The sequence below is a fragment of the Homo sapiens genome, chromosome 20 (genome assembly GCF_000001405.40).
Source record: "Homo sapiens chromosome 20, GRCh38.p14 Primary Assembly".
Lineage (NCBI taxonomy): Eukaryota > Metazoa > Chordata > Mammalia > Primates > Hominidae > Homo > Homo sapiens.
In genome coordinates, this window is record NC_000020.11 from 63735582 (window position 1) to 63763277 (window position 27696).

Genomic DNA, 27696 nt, shown 5'->3' on the forward strand with positions numbered 1-27696 from the left:
CTCAGGGCAAAGGGCGACCCAGGGTGGCCCTGCCCCCGGGATACATGCTGGAGGTCACCTGACCCAAGCATAGCGGGCTGAGTCCAGGAGGGGTCTGCATGTTGGAGGACGGGCAGCGGGCACACAGGCAGTGGGTACGGCAGACTGGGGTTGGTGGCATGGCCCAGGACCCCACGCTGACTAGTGAGCCCCTCCGCAGGCATAGCGTGGCGTCAGCCCAGCTGCAGGAGAAGCTGGCAGGAGCCCAGCGCCAGCTGGGGCAGCTCCGGGCTCAGGAAGCCGGCCTGCAGCAGGAGCAGAGGAAGGCAGACACCCACAAGAAGATGACTGAGTTCTAGAGACCCCACAAGCACTATGGACGAAGCGTGGGACCCCAGCACGGGCTGCCCTCAGGAAGACCAGTGTTGCCCGAGGAGGGGCCGGCCTGCTGGCCTGGGGCGTGCAGACACTGCTGAGTGGAGACAGAGCTGCGGGGTCCCATCTGGACACTTACTTGCCCACCTGCCAGTGTCTTGGGCATTTCCTTGGCAAGGACATTAAAGTGATTTCATCACAGTGTCATTCAGTGGAGATCAGCTGGCTGCAGGGTCTCTGGGGAGAGAAGGGTCTGTGCAGGGCTGTGGTGAGAGACGGGCTGGGCTGGAGGGGCCTAGGAGGCCGGCATTCTCCCTTCTTACCCTTCTCTGACCAAGGCAGATCGGAGGCCAGGGTGCCCGCCAGGCTGCCTGACACCCACAGATGGGTGGAGCTCAGTGCTGCTCCAGCGGGCGAGACGGGCGGGAGAGGACTGTGGCCCACCACGTGGGGCACTCTTGGTGAGGCAGGCGGACCTGGCCCTGTGGGTTTGGGGGTTCTGTGCCAGCTCTGCTCACGTCTTCGTGTGTGGAGGGGTTGTGAGTTAGGCTGTCAGAACAGTGCGGGCTAGAGGCGCACACGTTTCATCTAGGCTTCGGGCGGGGCGCAGCAGGTGGGTGAGGCTGCGGTGGTGGCTGCTGCCCAGGGTGGGAGGCTCAGGGGAGGCGCTTGGCGACAGGAGCAGGAAGTGATGAGGTGGGGAGCTCAGCCGAGGGCTGCACAAAGACCTTCCTGGCCTGCCCCAGACAGAGCTGAGGACCCCTGGCCGTGGGCTTGGTAAGTGCCCTCCTGGGGGGCAGCTGGGGTCTGGGAGGCCTTGGGATGTGGCTGCAGCTGGGTCAGTCAGCCAGGCTGAAGCCCACTCCCTGGGTCTGAGCAGACTGGCCCCAAACTCCAGAGACCACCCCTCACCCCCCAGCTTCTGTCTCTGCTGCTGGACTGTGCTGTTTGTAAGGCATCCCCCACCCCGAGAAGTTCTGCTAAGATCCCCAAGAAGGGGACAGATCCTCTCTGGCAGAGACACTGGCAGACAAGAAGAGCCAGAGAGAAGTGGGGTGGGGGCATCAGCACCCCCAGCAGCTGCTGCTGCCTGCTGACCCAGCCTCCAGCTCCTCCGGGTGCAGGGTCCCTCCTGCTGACCAGCCTCCAGCTCTTCCCAGTTCTGGGCTCCGCAGCGAGCGGCTTGGGGGCACTACCTGACACAGGAGACCATGTCTGGGCAGAGGGTGGCTGCAGGTGGAGTCTGTGGCCTGTGGCGCACACCCAGGGGCTCCCCCGATGCTGGTTACTATCTGGGCTATGGTGGCCACAGCTGTCTTGCCCCTCCTCACGGCCGTGCTGGGTGTTACCGTGGTCACCCGCAGGGACACGGAGGGGCCAGGCAGAGCAGCCCTAGTTCACCTCACCGGGAGCCCCCGCCAGAAGGTGGGCACCTCTGGGAGGGAGGGACTGCCAGGCCTTGGGGCTTCCTGTGCTGAGTCAGAGCTGGAACGGGAGACGCAGGAGCCCCGCAGCCGCGGGAGGTGCAGATTTGGGGCTGCCAGGTGGCGCCAGGTCCCCTTGGCCAGCCCCCAGCGCCCCTTTCTTCTGTCCCCAGGGCCTCGGCTTCACAGGATGGGGCTGCCAGTGTCCTGGGCCCCTCCTGCCCTCTGGGTTCTAGGGTGCTGCGCCCTGCTCCTCTCGCTGTGGGCGCTGTGCACAGCCTGCCGCAGGTAGGTCCCTCAGCCGCGTTCTGTCTGGGGCCTCGCTGCGGCTGCCATTCACAGCCCAGCGCGGGAAGGGGCTGGAGGCAGGTCCGCGCACCCAGCTCGGCACGCGCGCCTGCACCGGGCCTTGGACCCGAGGCTGACGACCCCGCCCCCCGCCCCCCACCTCTACCCCCAAGGCCCGAGGACGCTGTAGCCCCCAGGAAGAGGGCGCGGAGGCAGCGGGCGAGGCTGCAGGGCAGTGCGACGGCGGCGGAAGCGGTGAGTGCCAGGCTGTCCCGGGGACCAGGGTGGGGTCCGCAGGGCACCGACCAGCCTTCCTCGCCCCCAGTCCCTACTGAGGCGGACCCACCTCTGCTCCCTCAGCAAGTCGGACACCAGACTGCACGAGCTGCACCGGGGCCCGCGCAGCAGCAGGGGTGAGCAGAGGGCGGGGCGGGGGCGGCCGGGCGGGGCTTACTGTGCAGCGCGTGCCAACCCCTGGGCCAGACCCGCTCCTGCCCCCTGCCCGGAGTGAACTCTGCCCTGACCCCACCCCCAGCCCTGCGGCCTGCCAGCATGGATCTCCTGCGCCCACACTGGCTGGAGGTGTCCAGGGACATCACCGGACCGCAGGCAGCCCCCTCTGCCTTCCCACACCAGGAGCTGCCCCGGGCTCTGCCGGCAGCTGCAGCCACCGCAGGGTGCGCTGGCCTCGAGGCCACCTATTCCAACGTGGGGCTGGCGGCCCTTCCCGGGGTCAGCCTGGCGGCCAGCCCTGTGGTGGCCGAGTATGCCCGCGTCCAGAAGCGCAAAGGGACCCATCGCAGTCCCCAAGAGCCACAGCAGGGGAAGACTGAGGTGACCCCGGCCGCTCAGGTAACGTGGGCCAGGGTAGGGCGCTGTGGGTGGGGCCGGCAGATCCTCAGCAGGTTGGATGGTGCTGACCCCTCCTCGGGTTGGCTTCCTGTCTCCAGGTGGACGTCCTGTACTCCAGGGTCTGCAAGCCTAAAAGGAGGGACCCAGGACCCACCACAGACCCGCTGGACCCCAAGGGCCAGGGAGCGATTCTGGCCCTGGCGGGTGACCTGGCCTACCAGACCCTCCCGCTCAGGGCCCTGGATGTGGACAGCGGCCCCCTGGAAAACGTGTATGAGAGCATCCGGGAGCTGGGGGACCCTGCTGGCAGGAGCAGCACGTGCGGGGCTGGGACGCCCCCTGCTTCCAGCTGCCCCAGCCTAGGGAGGGGCTGGAGACCCCTCCCTGCCTCCCTGCCCTGAACACTCAAGGACCTGTGCTCCTTCCTCCAGAGTGAGGCCCGTCCCCCGCCCCGCCCCGCCTCACAGCTGACAGCGCCAGTCCCAGGTCCCCGGGCTGCCAGCCCGTGAGGTCCGTGAGGTCCTGGCCGCTCTGACAGCCGCGGCCTCCCCGGGCTCCAGAGAAGGCCCGCGTCTAAATAAAGCGCCAGCGCAGGATGAAAGCGGCCAGCCTCGCAGCCTGCTCTTCTTGAAAGCTGGGCGGGTTGGGGCGGGGGGCTTCTCTGGAAGGCTTGGAGCTGTCCCCTCTGGCCTTGGGGGACTGGCTGCCCCCGGGGCGCCCGGGCCTAGCCGAGGCGGTGCTCCTGCCGGCCAGACTCTCGGTCAGTGCGGGCACGGGGTCCCAGCCACTCCTAGGGGGCAGCGCAGCCGGCAGGGTGGCCGCCCCCGGGTGGGACTTGGACCCTGGACTCCACGGGAGGGCTCCGCCACCCAGCCTGGTGTTACATAAGGGGTGGTGGAGGTGGGCAGTCGAGCGTTAAAGAGTAACCTGCTGCCGGGAAGCCCGCCAAGCAATCGCGGCCCCTTCCCCGGCTCTGGCAGCTCTGCGAGCGCGCCCGTGGGGAACGGGCCCTCCCCGGCGGGGCGCGCGGGCGCGCGAGGTGGGCGGAGGCCTCGGAGCTGTGCCGGGCCGGGCCTCCCTCCCTAGGCCAGCGCGGGAGCGACCCGGAGGGGGCGGGCCCGGGGCGGGGCCTCGAAGCGCTGGCCGGCGGGAGCGCGGCCGGCCGGGCCCGCCCGCCTGCGGTGTGGACGCCGCGCGGCCAATGCGCGCGCCGGGACGGGACGGGACGGGGCGGGGCGGGGCGGGACGAGACGGGGCGGGGCGGGGCGGGCCGGGCAGCCTCCGGGCGGCGCGGCGCGGGCGGCGGCCGGATCCAGGGCGGGGGTCGGCGGCCCGGCCAGCCCGGCCCGGCCCGGGGCCGCGTCCTGAGAGTCAGCCCTCGCCGCTGCAGCCTCGGCGCCCGGCCGGCCGGCCATGGAGCGCCCCCCGCCCCGCGCCGCCGGCCGGGACCCCAGTGCGCTGCGGGCCGAGGCGCCGTGGCTGCGCGCGGAGGGTCCGGGGCCGCGCGCCGCGCCCGTGACGGTGCCCACGCCGCCGCAGGTACCGGGCGCCGGTGGGCGGGGGCGCCGACCAAGTTTCTCTCGCTGCAAAGATGGCGTCAGTGCTGCCCAAACTTCGGGCCCCCGGGGGCGGGGCAGCGGGGAGGGCGGCCGCGTCGGTCCGCGCGTGTCCGTGGGTCCCGCCGGGGCTGCGCCGGGCGGCCGGGGAGCCCTTCCCGCCGCGCCGGGCTGGGGGCGGGGCCGGGGGCGGGGCCGCGCCGTCCACACCGGCCGCAGCCGGTTTTCGAGGCGGGCGCCGAGCGGATCCGCGGCGGAGGTTGAGGGACCCCCCTCCCCCGGCCACCGCCTCCGCTGAGTCTGCCCCCTCCCCATCCGCAGGGCTCTTCCGTGGGCGGCGGCTTCGCGGGCTTGGAGTTCGCGCGGCCGCAGGAGTCGGAGCCGCGGGCCTCGGACCTGGGGGCCCCCCGGACGTGGACGGGGGCGGCGGCGGGGCCCCGGACTCCGTCGGCGCACATCCCCGTCCCAGCGCAGAGGTGAGCGGGAGGCCCGGTGCCTCGGGACTCGGTGTGCGCAGGGGCGGTGGGTGGGGTGCGGAGACACCGGCCCCGACGGAGGCCAGGTCAGGGCCCCAGGTTTGTAATTACCAGCCACCCCCAAGCTCTTCAGCCCTGGAGGAGCTGAGCAGAAATGATCGATGACTGGGAGTCCCTACACCTCCCTCCACCGCAGTTCCTCGGGGCTAGAGCTCAGAACCCGGAGCGGGTGGCTGTGCGTCTCTGTGCAGAAGAGGCTGCGCGGTCGGCATGGGGCGACTGTCCAGGAATCCCTGGGGCTCCTGACCGCCACCTCCCAACCCCTGCCAGGCCGGACACCTCGGTCTGGCTGCCAGGGCAGGGGCGGGCCCTGGCCTGGCTCGCTGGGGCCTGGGGAGCTGCCCGTGCTTCCAGCCCAGTCTCCCCCTGGCTGCTGCCGGCTGCTGGCCACTCCCACCTCCCAGGCCTGGCGTGAGGCCCACAGCTGCTGTTGCACAACCCTGGTTAATGTGTGATGGGGGGAGGCCTGGGCCTGGCCCGCCCCTCTGCCAGGGCTTCAGACCCCTGCCCAGCCCCAGTATCTGAAGGAACCACAGTGGAGCCAAGCCCGCGATGTGGAGAACTCAGGCTTCAGGAGACCCTGGCCCTGCTCCTGGCGGCTCCGGGTGGCTTTCAGCTCTCTCTGCAACCTGAGCTGGGGGAGGAGCCAGGCCTCATGCCCAGGGCTGGGAGTGGGGAGCCTGGTGTGCACGCGTGCCCAGGCCTGCACGTGGACCGACCAGGGGAGGGGCCCAGAGCTCTGGCTGGGTCACCCGCACCCCGCCCCCATCTCCTCCAGAGCCACCCCAGGAAAAGCCCGGCTGGACGAGGTCATGGCTGCCGCTGCCCTTACAAGCCTGTCCACCAGCCCTCTCCTTCTGGGGGCCCCGGTTGCAGCCTTCAGCCCAGGTAAGACTCAGATGTCTGCATTTAGGGGTGTGGGTGGGGACAGGGCTCAGAACCTACAGCCACCCAGCCTCTGTGGGGCAAGCAGAGCCCTCAAACCTGGGACTCCTTTCTAAAATGGACTCCCGCACCCTCAGTGCCCCCTACTGAGGCCAAAGCGGCAGGACCCAGGCCTTCTGGCCTCCCTGACCTGCTCACCTCCACGCGGCTGGCCACACACGTCTGCCAACCCTTTCCTGTGCCGGGGGGGTTTCTCCCCAAGCCCTGGGGCCAGCTCCTCCAAGACGCTCTGCCCACCAGTCTCACCGGACTTGGTGAACAGGGGCAGCTCAGGATTAGGGACTCCCTGGACCCACCCGAAGTTCTAAGGCGGGGGGCCCGTGTCCCCACAGAGCCTGGCCTGGAGCCCTGGAAGGAGGCCCTGGTGCGGCCCCCAGGCAGCTACAGCAGCAGCAGCAACAGTGGAGACTGGGGATGGGACCTGGCCAGTGACCAGTCCTCTCCGTCCACCCCGTCACCCCCACTGCCCCCCGAGGCAGCCCACTTTCTGTTTGGGGAGCCCACCCTGAGAAAAAGGAAGGTGAGCTTGGGGGCGGCCCCCAGGGAGGGGCGGGTGTGGCGGCTGAGCCTGACCCTGGCCCCTGTTGCTGCAGAGCCCGGCCCAGGTCATGTTCCAGTGTCTGTGGAAGAGCTGCGGGAAGGTGCTGAGCACGGCGTCGGCGATGCAGAGACACATCCGCCTGGTGCACCTGGGGTGCGGCGGGGCCTGGGGTGCGGCGGGGCCTGCGGGTTGGCTGGGGTTGTGAGGCCCGGCCAGGCCACCCCTTCAGCTCCCACTGGCTGGCTGTGTCTCCCGCAGGAGGCAGGCAGAGCCTGAGCAGAGTGATGGTGAGGAGGACTTCTACTACACAGAGCTGGATGTTGGTGTGGACACGCTGACCGACGGGCTGTCCAGCCTGACTCCAGTGTCCCCCACGGCCTCCATGCCGCCTGCCTTCCCCCGCCTGGAGCTGCCAGAGCTGCTGGAGCCCCCAGCCCTGCCTAGTCCCCTGCGGCCGCCTGCCCCGCCCCTGCCCCCGCCCCCTGTCCTGAGCACCGTTGCTAACCCCCAGTCCTGTCACAGTGACCGTGTCTACCAGGTGGGTGAGGCCACGGGTGGCAGCTGGGGCGGGTCTCAGGGCTCTCTGGAGGGGAGTGAAGCCCTGGCTGTGTCTCCCTGTAGGGCTGCCTGACGCCCGCCCGCCTGGAGCCGCAGCCCACGGAGGTCGGAGCCTGCCCACCCGCCTTGTCCTCCAGGATCGGAGTCACCCTGAGGTGCGTGTGGGCTGAGGGCCTGCGGCTGGCACCAGGTGGGGAGGGTCCTGGTCTCACAGCACCCCATGTCCTGTGACCCCCCGCACAGGAAGCCCCGCGGCGACGCGAAGAAGTGCCGGAAGGTGTATGGCATGGAGCGCCGGGACCTCTGGTGCACAGCCTGCCGCTGGAAGAAAGCCTGCCAGCGGTTCCTGGACTAAGTCCGGCTCGTTCAAGAACATAAGCTACCACCTTCTCCCTCCCCACCCCCTCCAGGCCCGGGGCTGAAACAGCCCGAGGACAGCCCCAGGGGCTGGCTTTCACCAGCTGCAGGGTCTGCTTTTACTTGGGGTGGGGGGGCGGGGCTGACCCTGAACCCTCCCCCCCGCCAGGTCGGGGAGGGGTCCCACCACTCAAAGTGCCTCTAAAGAAACCAGCTTTTTGCACTAAAGCCAAACCACACCGCTGTCCCCTTAGCCCCAAGGGCCCTGGGGGCAGCCACCCTCCCGCCTGTCGGCCCGTAGATTTATCAAGGGTGTTATGGGCCCAGCTTTGGGGGGCCAGTCCCGATGCACTTTGAGGGGTGTTGGAGAGGGGACTCCCCCACTCGCACTTAACTCAACGGCTCTCGGGCCCTGGGGCTGTTTTTACCATGTTTGTTTTTGAAGCTCAGGTGTCTCACGTCTGGGCTGCACCAGGCGAAGAGAGAAATTAAAGATTTGAGGTTTTTCCAGAAGCTTTGTCTGCCTCTCGGGAGGAAGGCCGTGGGGCTGGGACCCTGTGGTGGGCAAGTGGGTGGAGTCTGGCAGCTGCCCACAGAGGGCCGAGGGTCACCCGTCGGCCGCCGCCACCCCAGGCGAGGCCGGAGGAAGGATCATCTGAGACGCAGGAGGCATCTGCTGGAGCAGCAATTTCCCAATTTATTGAAAGTGATCGCTTTGCAAGGATGTCTAAGCTAATCCCGTCACAGAAAGGAAACGCACAGGCGCCTAGGCAGAAACTTGGAGACTCACCGCAGAGGCCACGTGAACCCACGGCCACAGAGAGGCAGGACGGCAGAGCCATGATTTCCCACCGAGCGATTACGAGAACCTCTTCCCCCAATAGTAGACACATCTCCAATACAAACACAGGTTTATAATAAGTAATAGGAAGTCAATATAATATAGATTATCCCCAGAAAAAAATCAACAATCTTCAAACACTGCCCTTTTTTTGTGTGTTTTGTTTTTGTTGACAGGTTGAAAGCATGTTGAAAAAAATAAATATTTAAGAAAAGCACACACAGCACCCTCACTACAAGTAGTTCTAAAAGGGCTGCATACAAAACACAATATAAGATCTAAAAAAAACCACCACCATTAAGTATGGCTTTCTTAAGAGTCGCACATGTCACAGAATGAGCTAAAATAAGATTACTTCTTTTATAATATTGCAAAAAGTTCCAGTTTTTGCATTTTCTCAGTTTTTTAAAGAGGAAGATGTGCAAAGTTGGAAGCAGTAAGCTGCGTCTTCTGAGTCAGTTCCCTACGTAGCCCTGGCAGTGTCCTGTGTCCCAAAGCTCAGAGAGCCCCAGTGTACAACCTGGTCAGGATCCAGAGCTTGACAGAAAAATCGTGGTGTCCCTGCCCCCTCCCCGCCCCCAAATAACACCATCCCCAATGGACTGTATTTCCCACTTTGGTGTTGTAAACACCAAAATACAAACAGACACAAACAAAAATACAAAATGTGAAATGTAATCTACACATTTTTCCTCTTCATAAAAAAATATTTATTAGTTTGAACATCGATTTAAAAAAAAATCAGTCACATAAAAAAAACCCTTCATGACATGTCTTTTCCCTCCACGCCTCCTGAGATGGACGTGCTCACCTGGGCCTCGGAAATCCCACACTCTTCAGTCGGCAAACTGCGAACAAGAACAGGAAATCTGCCACGCAGCAAACACTTGGGGAGGTCAGTGGGACACTGTTGGTTTTAGGGAAGAAAATGCCCCTGTAGCTCCGGCGGGGAACCCCAAAACGGTCAGCAAAGGCAGGCCACACGGAGTGAGCCGGCCAGATGGAGCAGGACATCCTGAGTGTGGAGGGGGAGGCGGGCCTGGGTCCTGGGCAGGGTGGCCTGAGAGCAGGGACTGGTACAAAACCCAGAGACATTGGTGGGTAGCAAAGGTCTGGTTTCCAAATGCATTTTGTAAGAAAGTCAGTCTGTTTAGAAAAAGGGTTTAAAAATCAGGGGAAAGGTACAAAGTTCTGAGAATTCTCAAAGAGGCCGGGGTGGGGCTGGCCTGGGGTGAGGGCTGGAGGGCTCCGCTGCAGCTCCCTGGTAGCCATGCTCTCCCCCTGGGGGACTCGTGCCAGAGCCACCCACCTTGCTCGGTAAGAGTGGGCAGGGCTCACCGCTGAGGGGCCAGCGCTTGGCCCGGCTCCTATCCCCACACTCCGTGTGCAGAAAAATCTTGGCCTCTTTCTCCAGCTTTGAGGAGCCCACAGCCTCCGAGCTGAGGGGTGTGTGTGATGACAGCTCCAGCCAGGGCACCCTGTCATTGGTAGAACCGGGGGCCAATGTCAAAAAACAAAAGCCGTGACTCCTGCGCTGTACCTGGAGTCCTCCATGTACTCCTCCACAGGACCCCCGGCCAGCCCCAGCCCTCCCCGAGCAGCAGCGGTCAGGGAAGCTGGTGCTCTACCTGACAATGTGGGGAAAAGCCTGGTATACAGGCTAGAAAAAGAGAGTAAAAACTCTTTCCACGCAGCCCTGAAGCTCAGCACTCCGGGGGGTCTTCACACGGGCAGGTCCTGGAGGGAAGGAGGAGGCCACCGCGCCCACCTCCCATCTGAAGGCACAGCACCGCAGTGGTGGCCTGTGCCAGAGGAGGGGGTGAAGGATGGAATGTCCTCATGGTGAGTGCTGTCAGAGGCAGGCCTGAACGAGAAGACAGGCCGTGGCAACGGTCCCGAGGCTGTGAGTCTAGGCAGCCTGCCTCCGGGACCCCCAAAGCCAGGCGGTGCACCACAGCACACACCGTGGGACCTTTGCTTTTCACTCAGGAAAAGAAAGAACATGTGAGTGCTTCTGAAAACACAGCAAGAGGACTTGAGCACAAGCTAAAGGAAAAACAACCCTATATAGTTTCTTCGAGTGAGAAAAATAATGCCAAACAAAATAATTTTATGTAACTACCTCGATATGTCTCTGACTACTTAAAAATTTGGTTACCCACGCGGGGAGGTGTAAGCAGCACACTGCAGTTAGGAACACCGCCTCCAGTGTTAGCAGCAAAGGCAGGAGCCCAGCTCCAGCCCGTCCAGGAGGGGTCAGCAGGAGCGGCCGGGCTGGGCCATGGGCAGAACAGGACGGGCAGAGCCCGGGGTGGACGTGGCAGCCCAAGGCTCTCCGAGGAAGTGCACACGACTGAGCCGAGGCCCTTGCAGAGGGAACCTGGTGTGGCCTGAAGTGGTGGGGGGCACAGGGCTGAGGGTCCCCTCCTGGAAGGAGCCCCCAGGGCTGTGTCCACCTAAGATAGCACCTGGAGCCCTCGGCCTCCAGCAGGGTCTGCAGCTGTGTTGTGTGTTAAGCACCAAAGCCCAGAGGTAAGACGGTGGCAGGGCTCTCTGTGCACCTGGATTCTACAGGCTGCCATGGGCCACGGCTGCACCACGGGCCACGGCTGCAGCCACAGGCAGTGACCTGGCTGCTAGGGGAGGGGAGGGCGGGCTCCAGCCGGGCTGACCGGGTGTCTGTAAAACTCTGCACCTGCTCAGGCCAGGGGCCTCTGGGCCGAACACACCACCCCGCCCAGTGCCCACTGGACCCGGCCACAGGCCCATCACGTGTCCAAGCCAGGCTGGCCATCACAGGGGCCACTCACACACCCGCACCACCTGCTGGGGACTTAGGACCGTGCTCTCCCTTCACTCAAACCCACCCTGTGCCCTCCCCCAACTCACTTCATGTCTGGTCCCAGAGCACCCCTCTTGCTGGGGTCGCACCTGCTTAGCCCGCAGGGCTGGTTTCCGTGGGGGGTGGGTTCAGGGGGAAGCAGAGGAGGGGCCGCGAGAGGGGTGAGCGTGGCCCTGGCCCCGCAGTGGAGACCCACCGGACACACACACGGGTGGACGGAGCGAGGCAGCCACCGACCCTGCCGGCGGGCGGGCCTAGGAGAGCCAGGCGAAGTCCTTGTCAGGGCCTCCTGGGGGGCTGCGCGGCCGCGGCGAGTCTTCCTCATCCTTGTCGTCCGCCAACAGCGCATCCTCAGGGGCCAGGCCCTCGTCGTCCTCGCCCAGCTCCTCCGCCTCCCCTCGTGGGTCCTCAGGGTCCTCCAGATAGGGCCCGTCGCCTGGGAACAGCGCCTCTGGAGAGCCCTCGCCGCCTCCGCCGCCATGGTCCAGGGGCCCGGCCATGCCGCGGCCAGCACAGTCGGTGCACACACCGTGGCGCCTGGAGCCATGCCTGATGCCCACGCTGGCGGCGGACATGAAGACGCGGCTGCACACCTTGCACACATACTTCTTGTCCTTGCTGTGGACCTGCAGAGGCAGGGCAGGGGGTGAGCAGGGCCTGGTGGGTTGGGGGGCGGGGCAGGGGGTGAGCAGGGCCTGGTGGAGGTGGGGGGGGCAGGTGGTGAGCAGGGCCAGGTGGAGGTTGGAAGAGGGGGCAGGGGGTGAGCAGGGCCTGGTGGAGGTGGGGGGGGCGGGGCAGGGGGTGAGCAGGGCCCGGTGGAGGTTGGGAGGGGGGCCAGGGGGTGAGCAGGGCCTGGTGGGTGGGGGGGGTGCGGGGGTGAGCAGGGCCCGGTTGGGGTTGGGGGGGCACAGCCTCCCGGGCCCTCCGAGTGTCTGCACAGGCAGAGACTCCTGGTGGGGGAGGTGCGCAGACAGGAGTGCTCAGACCTTGAGCCCCAGCTCCTATCAGAGCCACACAGCAGAACTGCAGGTGGCACCAAGGCAGCCCTGTCCCAAGGGGATGCTGGCACGAGGGCGGCAGTGCCCCTCCCCCGCAAACCCAGCCCCTAGGTGGGCCAGTCTCAGCGTCTACACTGTGTGTCCAAGCACCCCCACCAGAGGCCCCCTGGGTTGACACACTTCTCACGGGGGTCACACCACCGGCCTCTGCCTAAAAGCCTGGCTTCCTCCAAACCTCCCTGCAGGACAGGCTGAGGGCCCCGCATTGGACTGGAGCTCACAGAGCTCTTCCTGTACCCAGCCGTACAGGGACGGGCCGGGGTTGGGGCTGCCAGCCGGGCAGGTGGGCCCACACCTCAGCCTGGCTGCGTGGACACCCCCTCAGCCCCTGACCCCCTCAGTCCCTGACCCCTCAGCCCGACCCTGACTCCAGGAACGTGTAAAGGAGGCAACTCCCCCACTCTCAGGCTGTTTCAAGGTCGACTGAGACATGCAAGAAGAGAGATGAGCACTTATGGTCAGAGGAGGAGGTGTGGCTGCCAGGGAGGGCAGTCGTGCTGTGCCCTGTGCTGGGCCCGGCAGGGAGATGGGGCAGCACCCTGAAGAGGGCCCATGTGGCAGGACGCGAGGTGCTGGGTTCCTGGAGGGTCTCAGCACTGGCCTCAAGGCCTGAGGGAACTACCACACACTGCTGGGGACATGTGGCCCCAGGTGGGCTTCCGCTGAGGGTGGGTGTGGACACCTGTGCTGTGCAGAACCAGACCTCAGACATGGCCAGGGATGGGGAGAGGTGGCCCTTGTACCCACTCACGGGCACCCTCGGCCACGCCAGCTAGAGGAGGCCTTGGGGGGCTGGCCCTGATCCCTCACAGCACAGCCCCTGTCTCTGCCCTCCAAGGACCGAGAGGGCAGGACCCACAGAGGACCCCAATAGCAACCCCTGGCCCCTGGCCAAGTCCACACGAGGGGCTTCTCTGAGGTGGGCTGGCCTCAGGTCAGTCCTCCAGGCTGAACCCGGCAATGACCCCAGGCTCCCCTCGGCTCCTCCCTCCATCCACAGGGCTGTCTCCCGGGGCCTGCAGCACCTCTGAGGCTGCACGGAGAACTGAGGCTGGGATGTGCTTGTGAGTTTAGCTCTTCCTTAAACCATTCCAAACTCACCAGTTTTCTCCCATGAGCAAGTACATACATAATCAATGTGTGTCATGGCGGAAGACGGTCCTGCTACACTTGCAAAGACCTCTGACGGGCAGGCACCACAGCTACCACCTCCCCATCCTGGGGCTGGACCCGGGCCCTTACGTACTTCCTGCCTCAGTGTTCCGAATCCACAGGCCGACAGGCCACCCAGCACGGCCCGACCTCCCCTTCTAGACCCGCTTCCTTGAGGGCAGAGGTGCCTGTAACTTCTTCCACAAAGCCGGGAACCATAAAGACCTCACTTCTCAAATGTCTGCTTCCAGAGCAACTGTGTGAGCTCTAAGCCTGGACCGGGATGGGCGCTGTCCAGGGATGTGAGACCTTCAGGGGCAGCTGGTGGCTTTCAGGGCCAGGGCAGCACCACACAGCACACCTCAGATGCCCAAACACGCTAACCCTAGAAACAGAGCCTCAGACAACTTGGTGCCAGAACTGCTCCTTTGGGCTTTTGTTTTGCTGTATTTTATTTATTTATTTTTTTGAAACAGAGTCTCGCTCTGTCACCCAGGCTGGAGTGTAGTGTTGCCATCTCGGCTCACTGCCAGCTCCGCCTCCCGGGTTCATACCATTCTCCTGCCTCAGCCTCCCAAGTAGCTGGGACTACAGGCACCCGCCACCACGCCCAGCTAATTTTTTGTATTTTTAGTAGAGACGGGGTTTCACCGTGTTAGCCAGGATGGTCTCGATCTCCTGACCTCGTGATCTGCCCGCCTTGGCCTCCCAAAGTGCTGGGATTACAGGCGTCAGCCACCGCGCCCAGCCTGTTTTGCTGTATTTTAAACCAAGGACTTCCAGAACAAAAATTCAAGACAAGCCACAGTAGAAACTTCCCAGCACAGTAACCTGGTGCACACAGGCCCAGGAAGGGTTGGAGCGGGGCTAGTGAAAAACACTGAGGCCCCTTGAGGCCTAGGCTCCCATGTGTGCAGGGGCCAGGGCACCTGAGGAGGCAGCAGGGGCAGCTTGGGGTGGCACAGGGACCATGTGGCCAGGGCTGGATGGCTGGGAACTCATGCAAATGGGCAAATGCCCTGGAAGGAAGCAAGAAGGAAGACGGGACACCTTGGCAGCCCGCCCAGGCTCTGGGGCACTGTGGCTGCAAGAGCACGGCTGGCCCACCCTCCAAATGTGGCCCTGCCAAGGCATGGGGGGCCCTGCCCCAGCCACTGGTGCTCTTCCTGGAGCGGGTGGAGGGGCCACCCAGGCCAGGGAAGGGCTGACAGTGCTCGTAAGTGCCATCGTGAAAGTGGAGGCTGGACCGGCTAGAGCTGCTGTCTCACACTCGGGTCTCCACGCTCTCAGGTCCAGGACCCCAGAGAAGGCCACACACAGAGCCTCTCCTCAGAAAAAGTCAAGCCCCATATGCTTGCTTGTGTTTGTTGTTCTTTAGAGACAGGGTCTCACTCTGTTGCCCAGGCTGGAGTGCAGTGGTGCAATCACAGCTCACTGCAGCCTGGACCTCACTGGGCTCAGGTGATCGTCCTGCCTCAGCCTCTCAAGTAGCTGGGACCACACTTGGCTAACTTTTTTTTTTTTTTAATTTTTTGTAGAGACAGAGTCTCGCAATTTTGCCCAGGCTGGTCTCAAACTCCTGGCCTCAAGCTATTCTCCTGCCCCAGCCTCCCGAAGTGCTAGGATTACAGGCATGTGCCACCACACTTGGCTTTCCATATGTTATAAGTACATTTTCCAGGGAATTATGACCCCCTGAAGCCCAATCATGAACCCCAGGACAAAAATCCCAGCCCTGGTCGGACACAGTGGCTCACACCTGTAATCCCAGCACTTTGGGAAGCAGAGGCAAGTGGCTCACTTGAGGCCAGGAGTTCGGGACTAGCCTGGGCAACACAGCGAAATCCCATCACCACAAAACGCAAAAATTAGCTGAGCATGTTGGTGCACACCTGTAGTCCCAGCTACTTGGGAGGCTGAGGTGGGAGGATCGCTTGAGCCCGGGAGGTCAAAGTTGTAGTGAGCTGTGTCACGCCACTGCACTCCAGCCTGGGTAACACAGTGAAACCCTGTCTCAAAAAAAAAACAAAAAAACAAACCCTAACCCTATCCAACGAGAAGGAACAGGCAGCCACACTGAACCTCAAACAGGATCAAAACGTTTACTGAGAGGTTAATACGGATTTGCTGAAGAAAGACGTTGCAATCCATGTTGTTAAAACGTGTTAGCACCTATCAGTTTAAAAAACAAGATGCGATTTTCTCTGAATAGGAAACATGTCGGCCTGGTGCAGCTACCCCTCCCCCCGCCCCCGCGGCTTTTTATAAGTGGTTTGTAAGATCAGCCCTGTGGCCTGTGTGAACAGAAGCACATCCTCCGCTACGGAAAACAAGGCTGGGGCCCCGGCGGCTCCGCGTGGATGTGGGTCTGCTTCTGGCCTTGCAGACCTGCCATCTCGTGGTCCAGGGGCCCCCTCCCAGGACTGTTCCTTCTCTACTGTCCTCCACCTCGCAAAGGCAAATGTGGGGGCATCAGGGAAGGCCAGAGCCCAGCACTAAGCCCCGCTCCATATCCACTCCAGCACACATCCCAGGCGGCATCCGAGGGCCTGGAGTGGCCCTTCGCCCACAGCCGGCCAGGCAAACACGGGGAGGCCAGGGCCCTGCACCCCTCTAGCTCTGCAGCTTGACCTCAGGGAGCTCCCACAGGGGTCGTTACCCCAAATGGGTATCCACCACTGCACTGGAAAAGCAGCAACCAACAGAACCTGACCTCTGGCGCTCGGTTCCGCCCCCCAGTGGGTCTCCCCATAAAGCCCCGCCCCCCGGTGGGTCTCCCCATGAAGCCCCGCCCCCCGGTGGGTCTCCCCATAAAGCCCCGCCCCCCGGTGGGTCGCACCATGAAGCCCCGCCCCCCGGTGGGTCTCCCATGAAGCCCCGCCCCCCGGTGGGTCTCCCCATGAAGCCCCGCCCCCGGTGGGTCTCCCCATGAAGCCCCGCCCCCCGGTGGGTCTCCCATGAAGCCCCGCCCCCCGGTGGGTCTCCCGGTGGAGCTCGGCTCCTGCAGGTCCGCTCCGGAACCTGCTGACTCTCCTGCGATTCCTAAACTGGCAGCGATGCTCCAGAGCCTCTTCCGCCCCGACAGCAGCCCCACCTCTGCCCGGAGCCCGGGGCGCCTCCACTGCCTCTCCTCACACAGCTGCCCGCCGCGAGCTCCCCCTGCACCCTGCGCCTCGGGGTGGGCGTTCCAGGACTCCCCGAACCCTTGGGGCCGCCCCGCTCTGGGCTGCCTGTGCCCCACCCGCCTCACTGGTTGATCTCACCCACTTGAGATGCCCTCGCCAGGCCTTTTTTGGCAAATCTGCCTCCCTGTTCCCAGGCTGCCTTTTTCTATTATTTCCTCCCCAAGCAAATCCATCCACTCCACACCTGCTACCTGACAACGACCTGCCAGTGCTGAGCTCCAGGGTGGGCGCGGTGGGTGCAGACAGGTCGGCAGGCACAAGGACAGGGTTCTCCCTCCCGAGGCAGGGCGGGGGCGGGGGGGCGCAGAGGTGGCTGAGGGTTGGGGGCTCCAAGCAGAGCGAGCTGAGTTTGCCGAGGCCTGGCTGCCTTGGCGGCCAGCAGGTGAGCAGGGTGGGCCGAAGCCTCTGCAGGGGCCATGTGGCCCAGCCACACCCAGGAGGCCGGGGCAGAGCAGACAGGGGCCCGGGGCGGATCTCCCTGCCCTGCTGTCGTCCCCCCTGTGCAGAGTGGACCCGGTGTGGGGTCCGGGGCGGTCTGCGCCCTCATCAGGACCCGCCTGCCCGGACATCGTGGCCACGCGCAGCGCGCGGCACGCGGACCCTCCCCGCACTCACCAGCGTGTGGCGCTTCATGTGCTCGCGCCGCGTGAACTTCTTCCCGCAGATCTCGCAGGGGTAGGGCCGCTCTCCCGTGTGCGAGCGCATGTGTCGCTTGAGGATGCACTGGTGCATGGCCGAGAAGCTGCAGTACGGACACTTGAACTTCTTCCTGATCACCGTGAACTCATTCACTGAAAGAGAGGGACCCGCGAGGCGTCAGCAGGGCTTGGGATGTACCGCCCTGCGGCCCACAGACCACGGCTGCACGCCGCAGCCCAGCAGCCAGGACGGGCTGTCTCCCACGGCCACCCACTGGGGGCTGGTCAGCACTGCGACAGGCCAGGCTCCCCCACCATCTGCATAAATTGTCCCACCCACTGTCTGGCAGGGGCGGTGCCAGCAAGGCTGAGCCCCAGGGAGCTCAGGAGCCCCAGCTCTCAGGAGATCTTTCCATCCAGGCCAAAGGCAGGAGGCAAGGGGTAAGAACGGCCAATGCTGAACACAGTGCCCGGTCCCTGCAGGACCCTCCTTCCAGCCCTCAGACCCCACTGGGCATGTGTGGGTAGCAGGCCCTGGGCGTGGTGTCCGATCAGACGCCTCCCTGGAGGCAGAGAAGAAACAAACACTGTGGAGTAATACGGACCCAAAAGTGTGCAGGCGAAATGGGAGATGTGGGTGCAACTCAAAGTCCTGGGCTCTTCTTGCTGGACGCCGGAGAAGCAGCCAGACCCATTTAATCAAGTTCTTTTCCCCCAACCCTGAGACCCAACGTCACTCAGTGGCAGGAACTCCACACCACCATCTCCATGGTGCGTGCCCTGGGGCCAGGCTCAAAAACCTGGGGGACCCTCAGCACGCCCAGTGCCGTTATGCTACTCAGGCCCAGATACCAGCACGTCAGACCTGGGCATGGGCCACTGAGAGAGCCCGGAGCAGCCACGTCCACGGGACCCTACGGGAGACCCACCTGAAGCCCGGTGCACGCATGTGCCGAGGGCTGCTCACCCTGGGATTACCATGTACTTGCTGCTGTGCAGGACATCTTCCCCTCTGCATACTGTGACCACCTTTCAGTGCTGGGATTTTTAACTACACAGCTTTTGGATGTCTGAACACATCATAATTAATTAAACAGGCACTACTGCTGAACACGTTTCTGTGTTTTCACCCTTGTGGACCCTTCAGTGAGGCTCCTACAGATGGGTCTTTGCAGCCCTCTGCCACCTCCTGAAGATAAATTCTGACAAGTGGGATAAGCACCTGCCCTCCTGACCAGCAGTCCCCACTTGCCCTGCAGGGAGGGTCTACTGAGGCTCTGGGGGCTCCAGTGGACAGGCACACCCCCATGACAAGGATCTCCCAAAAGGCAGCTCTAACAGGAAACTCAGCATCTGCCAGGAGCGCTCATTTTGTGAGACTGGAGCATGTCTGTGTGGCCAAGACACAGAAAACCCCGGAGGCCCCGCCTGGCACGGCAGCACCTCTGACCAGCTGGCTGTGTTCGGACGCATGTCCCCGCCGCACATCCCCCGAGTGGCTCCTGACGAGGAAATCCCAAGCTCTTCCTGGCCTGTCCTCTGTCAGCCACACTGTGCCCCTGGCTCTCCTCCGTGAGTCAGTAACAAGAGACTTCTCCTTACCGCCACCGTCCCCCAGGCCACCCTTCTCACCCTGACAGCGCCTGGTTCTCGCATTATCACACCCAACAGAGCAAACGCTCCACACATTCTAGGCTAGAAAAGGAGAGCAAGGAAATGAGTTTTTCTATTAGTTTATTTAAAACAGCATTTTTTTTCTCTTTTTTTAAACAAGATGAGGTCTCGCCATGTTGCCCAGGCTGGTCTTGAACTCCTGGGCTCAAGCGATCCTCCCGCCTTGGCCTCCAAAAGTGATGGGGATTATAGGTGTGAGCCACTGTGCCTGGCCCAAAACAACTTTTTTTTTTTTTAGACGGAGTCTCACTCTGTCACCCAGGCTGGAGTGCAGTGGCTCGATCTCAGCTCACTGCAAGCTCTGCCTCCCGGGTTCACATCATTCTCCTGCCTCAGCCTCCCGAGTAGCTGGGACTACAGGCGCCCGCCACCACACCCAGCTAATTTTTTGTATTTTTAGTAGAGACGGGGTTTCACCGTGTTAGCCAGGATGGTCTCGATCTCCTGACCTCGTGATCCGCCCGCCTCGGCCTCTCAAAGTTATGGGATTACAGGCGTGAGCCACCGCGCCTGGCCAAAACTCTTTTGAGAATATATTCATTCATGGTTTCTACTCTTCCTATATAAACATGAAAATTAAAATTTTGAATTATATATTTTAGCCATTTTTATTTAATTCAGACCTACATGTTAAATATTTATCTCTGTATAGAAACCCTGTATTTTTTTACCTAGAAAAACAACTTAGAATGGACATGAGCAGGACTCAGCGTTAATAACCCCGTGAGAATAAACGCCACGGACCCAGGGCAGAGCCGCAGCTGCGGACGGTCCCCTCACCACCTGCATGTGCTGAAGCTGCCTGCGATGCACTTCGGCTTCTTCTTAATGCTCTGTTTTCCGGTCACTACCATAACACAGCACCACAAAGCGTGAGGCTCAGAACAGCCCGGTCCACTCTCTTGCAGTTCTGGAGGCCAAAGGTCAGAGATCAAGGCATCAGCACGGGCTGGCTCTCTCCAGTAGCTCCGGGGAGGGTCCCTCCGGCCTCTTCAGCTCCTAGTAGCTCCAGCTGCCCCTTGGCTTGTGACCGCATCGCTCCAGTCTCTGCCACCATCTGTGTGGCCTTTTCTCTGTCTGTGTCTCTTCCTCTTCTCTTAGAAGGACACTTGTGATTGGACTTAGGACCCATCTGGACAATGCAGGAGGACCTCATTTTGAGATCCTTTATCACATCTGCAAGACCTTTTTCCAAAGAGTCACATCCACAAGCTCTGAGGATCAGGACGGAGTGTTCACTGCTCAACCCACGACATTTGACTGACAGTACTGTGATCATTGAGGGAATTTCACTGGCTGTCATTACTAAAATAATTTCTTACTGGAAACAACACCTTCCATGATTTATTTGTGATTTACAGTCTATATATCTTAGAAAAAACTTACATCACGTAGCTTCATTCTCATAAACACTGGGAAGCCTTTAAAGTCCATTTGGTAACAGGAATTAAATAAAAAAGCATAAAGATCATTACACGGAAACGGGCACTCTCACGACCTGTCCTAAAAACGGAACCCTTTGCCAGGAATCAGGTGTTCTCGCAAGGAAAAGGCCAACTTCCAAAAGAGTAACTGAGAAGCGATGCTATCAGAGCTGGCGTGGACCCCCTAAAATAGGACATTCAGCGACATCCGGCTGCGACTGTACAGAATTGCCCCTGTGAAAACACTGCAGTCATTCGTGCCGGACTGGAGGCCTCCCCTAAGCTCAGGGAAGAGCAGAGGTCTCTGGCCTCCCTGCACCAAGCCAAGTCGGCTGCATGGCCACCTGCCCTTGGCCCTTCCTCTGTCCCCTCCCAGTGCGCTTTCCGCTCCAGGAGAATCGGACCTGTCCTAAATAGCCACTGTACCAGGGAACATTCCAGAACCTTTTCATGATAGTGTCAAAGACTGCAAGAAACCAGCCGTGAAGCAAATGGACTGGCAGTTGGCTTCAGACGGGCAGACAGGGGACAAGGCATCTTCGGAGGGTTCAAGTTTGCTGCTTCCTGAGTCTTCATCACAAAACCATCTGGATATTGAATTGGTCTGGATATAATTTTCAAAAGACTGCACTTTGAGAGCATCTCCGAAAGGGATCCAAACATCAACTGTTCTTTGTTTTTTTGTTTACAAATGTATTAGGCTGTCACTTAACTCTGTGTTAGAATGTGATGAAATTGTGATCTGTCCAGATTATTTTCAAAAACGTTTTAAGCCTTATGTAAAGTGCAAATACGTATACAGCTCAATGAACTTTATCTACATACACCACACATCGCCAAACAGGCACTGCGTGTTCCCAGCACCCTCGAACAAGCCTCTGGCCCTCCCCTAGTTGTAACCCCCAGAGAGCACCCTCTGCCCTCAATCACCACACGTTTTATTGCCCTAGGGCTTCGTATACGTGGGATCCTACCCTCGTGTTGGGCTTTCTTCACTAGATGTGGCCCGCACTGCTGCCTGGAGGAGGATGTGGTTGTTTGTGGTGCGTGGTACTCCATGACACCACTAAGCCACATGTCCATCCTGTAGATACCAGTTTGGGCCTATTGAACAATGGAGATCTGATGGCTCTTACATGTGTCTTTTGGTGACTTAAGTTCTCATTATTTCTGTTGGGCATGCCCTGGCGGGGAAGGGGGGCTTCTGGACCACAGGGTGTTCACCTGCTTGGCTTCCGCAGATATTGCCAATTTTCCAAAGATTTATGATTCCTCTCAAAGTAATTTTTGTGCTTGGTCAGAACTAGGGGTCAAGATTCCCTATTTTTGGGGAGGGGAACAGAATCTTGCTCTGTCACCCAGGCTGGAGTGCAGTGGTGCGATCTCAACTCACTGCAACCTCCGCCTCTGGGTTCAAGTGATTCTCCTGCCTCAGCCTCTCGAGTAGCTGGGATTACAGGCACTCATCGCTACACCAGGCTGATTTTTGTATTTTCAGTAGAGACGCGGTTTCGCCATGTTGGCCAGGCTGGTCTCGAACTCCTGACCTCAGGTGATCCACCCGCCTCGGCCTCCCAAAGTGCTGGGATTACAGGTGTGAGCCATCGCGCCTGGCCACGATTCACTTTTTTCCTCCATGTCAATGTCCAGTCACTCAGCACCATATCTTGAAAAGACCATCTGTCCCACATTGAGTTGCAGAGTGGGCTTTCTGGTGCCTCACGGGCCCTGGCGGCGTGTCTACCCTGCATCACCACCACAGCGTCTCCACGACGGCAGCACTAGAAGCCTTGATGTCTGCATCTGTCAGTCCTCCAGCTTTCTCCTTCCTTTCCAAGATCACCTTAGCCATGTGTAGGAACCCTGGCTTTTATTTCCAGGTTTCTGATGCCCTGACATCTGGGGTCTCCATGACCCTGCAGGAACTTCCCCTCCCAGTTCCTAGAGATAGCAGTCGGAATCACCTTTGAGTGCACCTTTCACAGGTGAACCAACCCATCCAGAGCTCACACTCCCTCCACCCGCCCCGTCCAGGGCTCACACTCCCTCCACCTGCCCATCCAGGGCTCACACTCCCTCCACCCGCCCATCCAGAGCTCACACTCCCTCCACCCGCCCCGTCCAGAGCTCACACTCCCTCCACCCGCCCCGTCCAGAGCTCACACTCCCTCCACCCGCCCATCCAAAGCTCACACTCCCTCCACCTGCCCATCCAGGGCTCACACTCCCTCCACCCGCCCATCCAGAGCTCACACTCCCTCCACCCGCCCATCCAGAGCTCACACTCCCTCCACCTGCCCATCCAGGGCTCACACTCCCTCCACCCGCCCCATCCAGAGCTCACACTCCCTCCACCCGCCCCGTCCAGAGCTCACACTCCCCCCACCCGCCCCGTCCAGAGCTCACACTCCCTCCTCCTGCTCCATAGGTTCTCACACTACAGCCAGTATCCCCTCCCCTAATCACCCCTGGGCCATACAACTAGACACAGCTCCTATGCCCAGAGCCTGCTGAAATTATTCAAATCACACAATCCCAAACCAGCTTACCCTGCCTTGCCCGTTCCTCCCCACAGAAACCAAACAAGGCTCCGGCCTGCATTTCCCCCTCTCCCTCTGCCTCCTGACTGACCCTGGTGCTTCCCCATGTGTCTCTGCCTGGGCTGGTGGGCCTGCTATTCTGGAAATTGGTGAGTGTAACAAACTTCTTCCCTTTATGAGTTATTTCTGTGTCTGTGTCCTACGACACCAGATTAACACAAATCCCCAGGTGCCCTTAGATCCCTATCCTAGATCCTTTGCATCTCCAAATATATTTAGCAGTCAGTTTACTCACACACGCACGCGCACGGGCACTCACACACCCCTCTGCTGGGATCTTAACCAGAATTGTGCTGACCCAATATATCAACTTAAGGAGAGTCACATCTTTTTTTTTTTTTTTTTGAGACAGAGTCTTGCTGTCGCCCAGGCTGGAGTGCAGTGGTGCGATCTCAGCTCATTGCAAGCTCCGCCTCCCGGGTTCACGCCATTCTCCTGCCTCAGCCTCCCGAGTAGCTGGGACTACAGGCGCCCGCCACCACGCCCGGCTAATTTTTTTGAATTTTTAATAGAGACGGGTTTCACTGTGTTAGCCAGGATGGTCTCAAATCTCCTGACCTCGTGATCCGGCCGCCTCGGCCTCCCAAAGTGCTGGGATGACAGGCGTGAGCCATGGTGCCCAGCGGAGATTCACATCTTAACAATAGTGAGTCTTCTCCTCCATGAACATAGTATCTCCCTTCATTTATCATTATCTTCTTTAATTTCTCCCAGCAATATTTTATAGTTTTCTGTGTAGAGGTCTTTGCATATTTTTTGTTTAATTTATTCCTAGGCATTTGATGTCCTATAAAATGAAACTCTGTTATTTATAGAAATACAATTGACTTTTGTATATTGAGTTTCGTACATTGGCTGTATATCCAGTATATTTAATTATCCTGTTAAAAATCTAAGTTTCTAGATTCTTTTGAATGTTCTATATGCATAGTCATGTCACCTACAAATGATGCTTTTACTTATTCCCTTCCATTCATTTCTTTTTCTTTTTTTTCTTTAGTAAAGACAGGGTCTTGCCATGTTGCCCAGGCTGGTCTTGAGCTCCTGAGCTCAAGTGACCCACCCACCTCAGCCTCCCAAAGTGCTGAGATCACAGGCATGAGCCACAGTGCCTGGCCCCTTTCATTTATCACTGTATTGCACAGCTTGGGACAAGGGGTAGGACTCAGGGAGGAGGGGGGCAAGGGAGGTTCCTGACATGACACAAACATTAGGAAGGCAAGAGCTCTCAGGGGCAGCCCTGCACACACAACCCGGGCAGGATCTCCAGCCAACTCTGAATATAAGTGGTGACGATGGGCGTCTGTGTATCGTTCCCGTGCTCAGAGGCTAAGTCATCATGATTTCACAATTAACCAAAAGGTTAACTTTTTTTTTTGTAGATACTTTTTGTCAGATTTAGAACATTTCTTTATACTCCAATTTGCCGATTCTTATCACGAAGGCTACTGAATTTTATCAAAAGTGTTTCCTGCATTTATTGAGGTGATATAGCGGGTTCTCTCCTTTATTCGGCTAATGTGGTAAATTCTACACATTGATTCCAAACACTCACTTAACCTTGAGTTCTTGGAATGAGCCTGCGGACCATGCAACACGGTTCTTCCTCTGTCTCACTGGATTCAATTTGCTGGTATTTACTTTAATAGTTGCACATCTCTGCTGAGTGATAATTTCCTTTCTTGAAATGCCACGTCAGGCTCTGGGATCAAGACCATGCCAGCTTAGATAGGCTGGAGACTGTTCCTTTCTTCTAGTATTTGGAAGATATGTCTAACGTTGGCGTCATTTTCTTCCGTTAAAATTGGAAAGAATTCACTAGTAAAGGCACTCGCCCTGAAGCTTTCTCTGTGGGAAGGCTTTAAAGTTATTAATTCAATTTTCTCAGCAGATCATAAAACCATTGAGCTCTTCCTGTTTGCTCCAGTTTTGATAAATTCTGTTTTCCAGGAATTTTCCCATTTCCTCCAATGTGTCAAATATATTCGCATAAAGTTGTGTATAATAATCTTATCTATCCAATATCCGTTGATCACTTTTCACAGGAGTTATATCAGTGTTTTTGTTTTTTTTTTTTGAGACAGAGTCTCACTCTGTTGCCCAGGCTGGAGTGCAGTGGCACAATCTCGATTCACTGCAAGCTCCGCCTCCTGGGTTCTCCTGCCTCAGCCTCCCGAGTAGCTAGGATTACAGGCGCCTGTCACCACACCTGGCTAATTTTTTCTATTTTTAGTAGAGACAGGGTTTCACCGTGTTAGCCAGGATGGTCTCGGATCTCCTGACCTCGTGATCCGCCTGCCTCGGCCTCTCAAAGTGCTGGGATTACAGGCGTGAGCCACCGCGCCAGGCCGAGTTATATCAGTTTTATTATCTTTTCAACACACTGGCTTTGGGCATTGTTCACTTTCGGTTTTGGGGTTTGCCCAGGCTGGAATGCAGCAGTGCAATCATAGCTCACTGTAACCTTAAACTCCTTGGCCTCAAGCGAGCCTTCTGACTTAACCTCCCGAAGTGCTGGGATTACAGGTGTGCACCACCATGCCAGCTACACTGTTGATTTTTGTATGCCTGCTTTCTACTTCATTGATAGCTCTTTTTTTTTTTTTTTTTCAGATGGAGTCTCGTTCTGACATCCAAGCTGGTGTGTGGTGCCATGATCTCGGCTCGCTGCAACCTCCGCCTCCCAGGTTCAAGCAATTCTCCTGCCTCAGCCTCCCGAGTAGCTGGGATTACAGGCACCCACCACCATACCCGGCTAATTTTTGTATTTTTAGTAGAGACAGGGTTTCACCATGTTGACCAGACTGGTCTCGAACTCCTGACCTCAAGTGATTGACGCACTTCAGCCTCCCAAAGTGCTGGGATTACAGGCATGAGCCACCACACTCACCCTGATATCTATTCTTTATTTCCCTTCTGTTACTTTCTTTGGGCTTAATTTGCTATGCTTTTTCTTCTTGACAAAGAAATTTAGAACCTTTCTTCTGTCCTAATATATAACTAGAGCTGTAAGTTTCCCTTAAATATTGCTTTAGATGTGGGCCTAAAAGTTTTGATACAGCATTTTTTCATTATCATTCAGTTAAAAATATTTTGGCCAGGCACGGTGGCTCACACCTGTAATCCCAGCAGTTTGGGAGTCCGAGGCAGGTGGATCACAAGGTCAGGAGTTCGAGACCAGCCTGGCCAATATAGTGGAACTCTGTCTCTACTAAAAATACAAAAATTATCCAGGCGTGGTGGCCGGTGCCTGTAATCCCAGCTACTCGGGAGGCTGCAGCAGGAGAATCACTTGAACCCCGGAGGCAGAGGTTGCAGTGAGCAGACATCGCACCACTGCACTCCAGCCTGGGTGACAGAGCGAGACTCTGCCTCAAAAAAAAAAAAAAAAGTTTATCATTTCCATAGGGATTTATTCTTTGACTTGAGGGTTGTGTAAACGTATACTATTTGATTTGCAAGCATTTGGGGATATTCTAGTGTCTTCTTGTTACTGATTTCTAATTCCAGTTTGCTAAGGTCAGAGAATATACTCTCTGATTTCAATCCTTTGATATTTGTTGAACCTGAATTATGGCCCTGGTTGGTCTATTTTGGTAAATGTTTCCTGTCCATTTGGAATATCCTGCACTTTTGGTGTAACGTTCAAACTGGGCTAATTGTGCTGTTACAGCCAGTATCTCTATGAACACAGATGCAAGACTCAAACCAAACATTAGCTAACTGAATCCAATAATACAGAAAAAGAATAGCAGCTTGTGACCAGATGTGTTTATTTCCAGGAATTCAAGGTGAATTTAACATTTGAAAACTGTGTTCAAATATTCTCTATCCTTACTGAGATTTTGTTTGCTGTTCTATCAATTACTGAGATAAGTGTTTTAAAACCCCCAATTGTAATTGTGAAGTTATCTCTTTTTTTAGTTCTGCCAGCTTTTACCTCATGTATTTTAAAACTGAGCTGTTGCCGGGCACAGTAGCTCACACCTGTAATCCCAGCACTTTGGGAGGCCGAGGTGGGTGGATCACGAGGTCAGGAGATCGAGACCATCTTGGCCAACATGGTGAAATCCTGTCTCTACTAAAAATACACAAAAAATGAGCCAGGGTGGTGGCACGCGCCTGTACTGCCAGCTACTTGGGAGGCTGAGGCAGGATAATTGCTTGAACCTGGGAGACAGAGGTTGCAGTGAGCCGAGATCGCGCCACTGCACTCCAGCCTGGGCAACAGTGAGACTTCTCTCAAAAAACAAACAAACAAACAAACAAACAAAAAAAAAACCAACTGAGCTGTTAGGAGCAATATGCATTAGGATTGTTATATTTACTACTGAATTGACTAATTATCATTATGCCAGTCCCTCTTGAGTAATACTTCTCAAAGTTTACTTTGATATTAAGATTGCTATACTGACTTTCTTTTTGGTTAGTGTTTGCTTGATTCATCTTTTTCTTTTCTTTTTTTCTTTTGTAGAGATAGGGTGTTGCTCCGTTACCCACGCTGGAGTACAGTGGCACAATCATAGCACATGGTAACCTCAAACTTTTGGGCTCAAGTCATCTCCTGCCTCAGCCTCCCAAGTAGCTTGAATCACTGGTGAGCACCACCAAACCCAGCTAATTATTTAATTCTTTTAGAGATGGGGTCTTGCTAAGTTGCCCAGGCAGGTCTCAAACTCTTGGCCCCAAGTGATCCTCCCACCTTAGCCTCCCAAATTGCTGGGATTACAGGTGTGAGCCACTGTACCCAGCCAATAAATAGTTTTTAAAAACAGGCTATGTGTTTTGTTCATTTTTAATAATGTAATTATTGATGTGGCTGGTGTAAGGCTATCATCTTGTTTTTTATTTGTCCTTTATGCTTTTTGTTC

General features: G+C 58.5%; 4 protein-coding genes and 1 long non-coding RNA gene across 20 annotated transcripts in view, besides 13 other annotated features; 4 read left to right on the top strand and 1 right to left on the bottom strand.

Annotated features, from left to right (window-relative positions):
• ZGPAT (zinc finger CCCH-type and G-patch domain containing) overlaps positions 1-561 on the top strand; it is a 28701-nt gene extending 28140 nt beyond the window's left edge. For all 5 annotated transcript variants that reach the window (NM_001083113.2, NM_032527.5, NM_001195654.2 and 2 more), the window contains exon 7: positions 200-561. In NM_001083113.2, coding sequence (NP_001076582.1) covers positions 200-338 — 139 coding nt within the window. In that variant the 3' untranslated portion in view covers positions 339-561. The remainder of the gene's footprint in view (positions 1-199) is intronic.
• LIME1 (Lck interacting transmembrane adaptor 1) lies at positions 120-3522 on the top strand. 3 transcript variants are annotated; one of them, NM_001305654.2, is made up of 6 exons: positions 120-605; positions 1952-2066; positions 2240-2321; positions 2427-2479; positions 2602-2918; positions 3017-3522. In NM_001305654.2, the coding sequence occupies exons 2-5, from the start codon at positions 1969-1971 to the stop codon at positions 2897-2899; spliced, it is 531 nt and encodes a 176-aa protein (NP_001292583.1). In that variant the 5' UTR covers positions 120-605; positions 1952-1968; the 3' UTR covers positions 2900-2918; positions 3017-3522. The 3 variants fall into 3 exon arrangements, with proteins under 3 accessions (NP_001292583.1, NP_060276.2, NP_001292584.1); NM_017806.4 differs by lacking the exon at positions 120-605 and adding an exon at positions 1083-1131 and having other exon boundaries at positions 2392-2479; NM_001305655.2 differs by lacking the exon at positions 120-605 and adding an exon at positions 1083-1131.
• Positions 509-688: an enhancer, noted in NCBI's record as "active region_18250". NCBI's record gives its function as "activates an Ori minimal core promoter by ATAC-STARR-seq in GM12878 lymphoblastoid cells {active_cell/tissue: GM12878}" and the evidence as "EXISTENCE:reporter gene assay evidence [ECO:0000049][PMID:35858748]".
• Positions 1268-2184: an enhancer, noted in NCBI's record as "H3K27ac-H3K4me1 hESC enhancer chr20:62368201-62369118 (GRCh37/hg19 assembly coordinates)". NCBI's record gives its function as "activates a minimal SCP1, AML or CMV promoter by ChIP-STARR-seq in primed H9 embryonic stem cells {active_cell/tissue: H9 hESC(primed)}" and the evidence as "EXISTENCE:reporter gene assay evidence [ECO:0000049][PMID:30033119]".
• Positions 1268-2338: a biological region, named in NCBI's record as "H3K27ac-H3K4me1 hESC enhancer GRCh37_chr20:62368201-62369118".
• Positions 2119-2338: a silencer, noted in NCBI's record as "silent region_13181". NCBI's record gives its function as "represses an Ori minimal core promoter by ATAC-STARR-seq in GM12878 lymphoblastoid cells {active_cell/tissue: GM12878}" and the evidence as "EXISTENCE:reporter gene assay evidence [ECO:0000049][PMID:35858748]".
• Positions 2384-2978: an enhancer, noted in NCBI's record as "LIME1 eExon fragment used in the reporter construct". NCBI's record gives its function as "weakly activates a pGL4.23 vector minimal promoter by reporter assays in HepG2 cells" and the evidence as "EXISTENCE:reporter gene assay evidence [ECO:0000049][PMID:25340400]".
• Positions 2409-2558: a silencer, noted in NCBI's record as "silent region_13182". NCBI's record gives its function as "represses an Ori minimal core promoter by ATAC-STARR-seq in GM12878 lymphoblastoid cells {active_cell/tissue: GM12878}" and the evidence as "EXISTENCE:reporter gene assay evidence [ECO:0000049][PMID:35858748]".
• Positions 2639-2698: a silencer, noted in NCBI's record as "silent region_13183". NCBI's record gives its function as "represses an Ori minimal core promoter by ATAC-STARR-seq in GM12878 lymphoblastoid cells {active_cell/tissue: GM12878}" and the evidence as "EXISTENCE:reporter gene assay evidence [ECO:0000049][PMID:35858748]".
• Positions 3703-4202: a silencer, noted in NCBI's record as "silent region_13184". NCBI's record gives its function as "represses an Ori minimal core promoter by ATAC-STARR-seq in GM12878 lymphoblastoid cells {active_cell/tissue: GM12878}" and the evidence as "EXISTENCE:reporter gene assay evidence [ECO:0000049][PMID:35858748]".
• On the top strand, positions 4195-8469 carry SLC2A4RG (SLC2A4 regulator). Its single transcript, NM_020062.4, has 8 exons — positions 4195-4457; positions 4796-4950; positions 5789-5898; positions 6288-6475; positions 6549-6649; positions 6755-7034; positions 7118-7209; positions 7298-8469. Exons 1-8 carry the CDS (start codon positions 4332-4334, stop codon positions 7407-7409), a joined length of 1164 nt encoding a protein of 387 aa, NP_064446.2. The 5' UTR covers positions 4195-4331; the 3' UTR covers positions 7410-8469.
• Positions 4453-4602: a silencer, noted in NCBI's record as "silent region_13185". NCBI's record gives its function as "represses an Ori minimal core promoter by ATAC-STARR-seq in GM12878 lymphoblastoid cells {active_cell/tissue: GM12878}" and the evidence as "EXISTENCE:reporter gene assay evidence [ECO:0000049][PMID:35858748]".
• Positions 4613-5312: a silencer, noted in NCBI's record as "silent region_13186". NCBI's record gives its function as "represses an Ori minimal core promoter by ATAC-STARR-seq in GM12878 lymphoblastoid cells {active_cell/tissue: GM12878}" and the evidence as "EXISTENCE:reporter gene assay evidence [ECO:0000049][PMID:35858748]".
• Positions 8089-27696, bottom strand: part of ZBTB46 (zinc finger and BTB domain containing 46) — a 90226-nt gene continuing 70618 nt past the window's right edge. For 8 of the 10 annotated variants that reach the window (XM_011528548.3, XM_005260197.5, NM_001369741.1 and 5 more), the window contains exons 4-5: positions 17105-17280; positions 8089-11720 (exon numbers count right to left, since the gene is read on the bottom strand). In XM_011528548.3, coding sequence (XP_011526850.1) covers positions 11349-11720; positions 17105-17280 — 548 coding nt within the window. In that variant the 3' untranslated portion in view covers positions 8089-11348. Of the gene's footprint in view, positions 11721-17104; positions 17281-27696 lie in introns of those variants that run through there. The other 2 variants (XR_936500.3, XR_001754167.2) reach the window with 2 other exon arrangements.
• On the top strand, positions 8244-10370 carry ZBTB46-AS2 (ZBTB46 antisense RNA 2). The gene is made up of 3 exons (NR_186425.1): positions 8244-9147; positions 9947-10094; positions 10242-10370. It is a non-coding gene; the product is annotated as a ZBTB46 antisense RNA 2 (long non-coding RNA).
• Positions 16210-17160: an enhancer, noted in NCBI's record as "H3K27ac-H3K4me1 hESC enhancer chr20:62383144-62384094 (GRCh37/hg19 assembly coordinates)". NCBI's record gives its function as "activates a minimal SCP1, AML or CMV promoter by ChIP-STARR-seq in naive H9 embryonic stem cells {active_cell/tissue: H9 hESC(naive)}" and the evidence as "EXISTENCE:reporter gene assay evidence [ECO:0000049][PMID:30033119]".
• Positions 17161-18112: an enhancer, noted in NCBI's record as "H3K27ac-H3K4me1 hESC enhancer chr20:62384095-62385046 (GRCh37/hg19 assembly coordinates)". NCBI's record gives its function as "activates a minimal SCP1, AML or CMV promoter by ChIP-STARR-seq in naive and primed H9 embryonic stem cells {active_cell/tissue: H9 hESC(naive and primed)}" and the evidence as "EXISTENCE:reporter gene assay evidence [ECO:0000049][PMID:30033119]".
• Positions 18113-19062: an enhancer, noted in NCBI's record as "H3K4me1 hESC enhancer chr20:62385047-62385996 (GRCh37/hg19 assembly coordinates)". NCBI's record gives its function as "activates a minimal SCP1, AML or CMV promoter by ChIP-STARR-seq in naive H9 embryonic stem cells {active_cell/tissue: H9 hESC(naive)}" and the evidence as "EXISTENCE:reporter gene assay evidence [ECO:0000049][PMID:30033119]".

Coding starts and splice junctions, on each gene's coding strand:
- LIME1 (NM_017806.4), top strand. CDS start 1,969: ATGGGGCTGCCAGTGTCCTGGGCCCCTCCTGCCCTCTGGGTTCTAGGG. Junction 2,067..2,239: donor CTGTGCACAGCCTGCCGCAG/GTAGGTCCCTCA, acceptor TCTACCCCCAAG/GCCCGAGGACGCTGTAGCCC. Junction 2,480..2,601: donor GGGCCCGCGCAGCAGCAGGG/GTGAGCAGAGGG, acceptor CCCCACCCCCAG/CCCTGCGGCCTGCCAGCATG.
- SLC2A4RG (NM_020062.4), top strand. CDS start 4,332: ATGGAGCGCCCCCCGCCCCGCGCCGCCGGCCGGGACCCCAGTGCGCTG. Junction 6,476..6,548: donor CCACCCTGAGAAAAAGGAAG/GTGAGCTTGGGG, acceptor CTGTTGCTGCAG/AGCCCGGCCCAGGTCATGTT. Junction 7,210..7,297: donor AGGATCGGAGTCACCCTGAG/GTGCGTGTGGGC, acceptor CCCCCCGCACAG/GAAGCCCCGCGGCGACGCGA.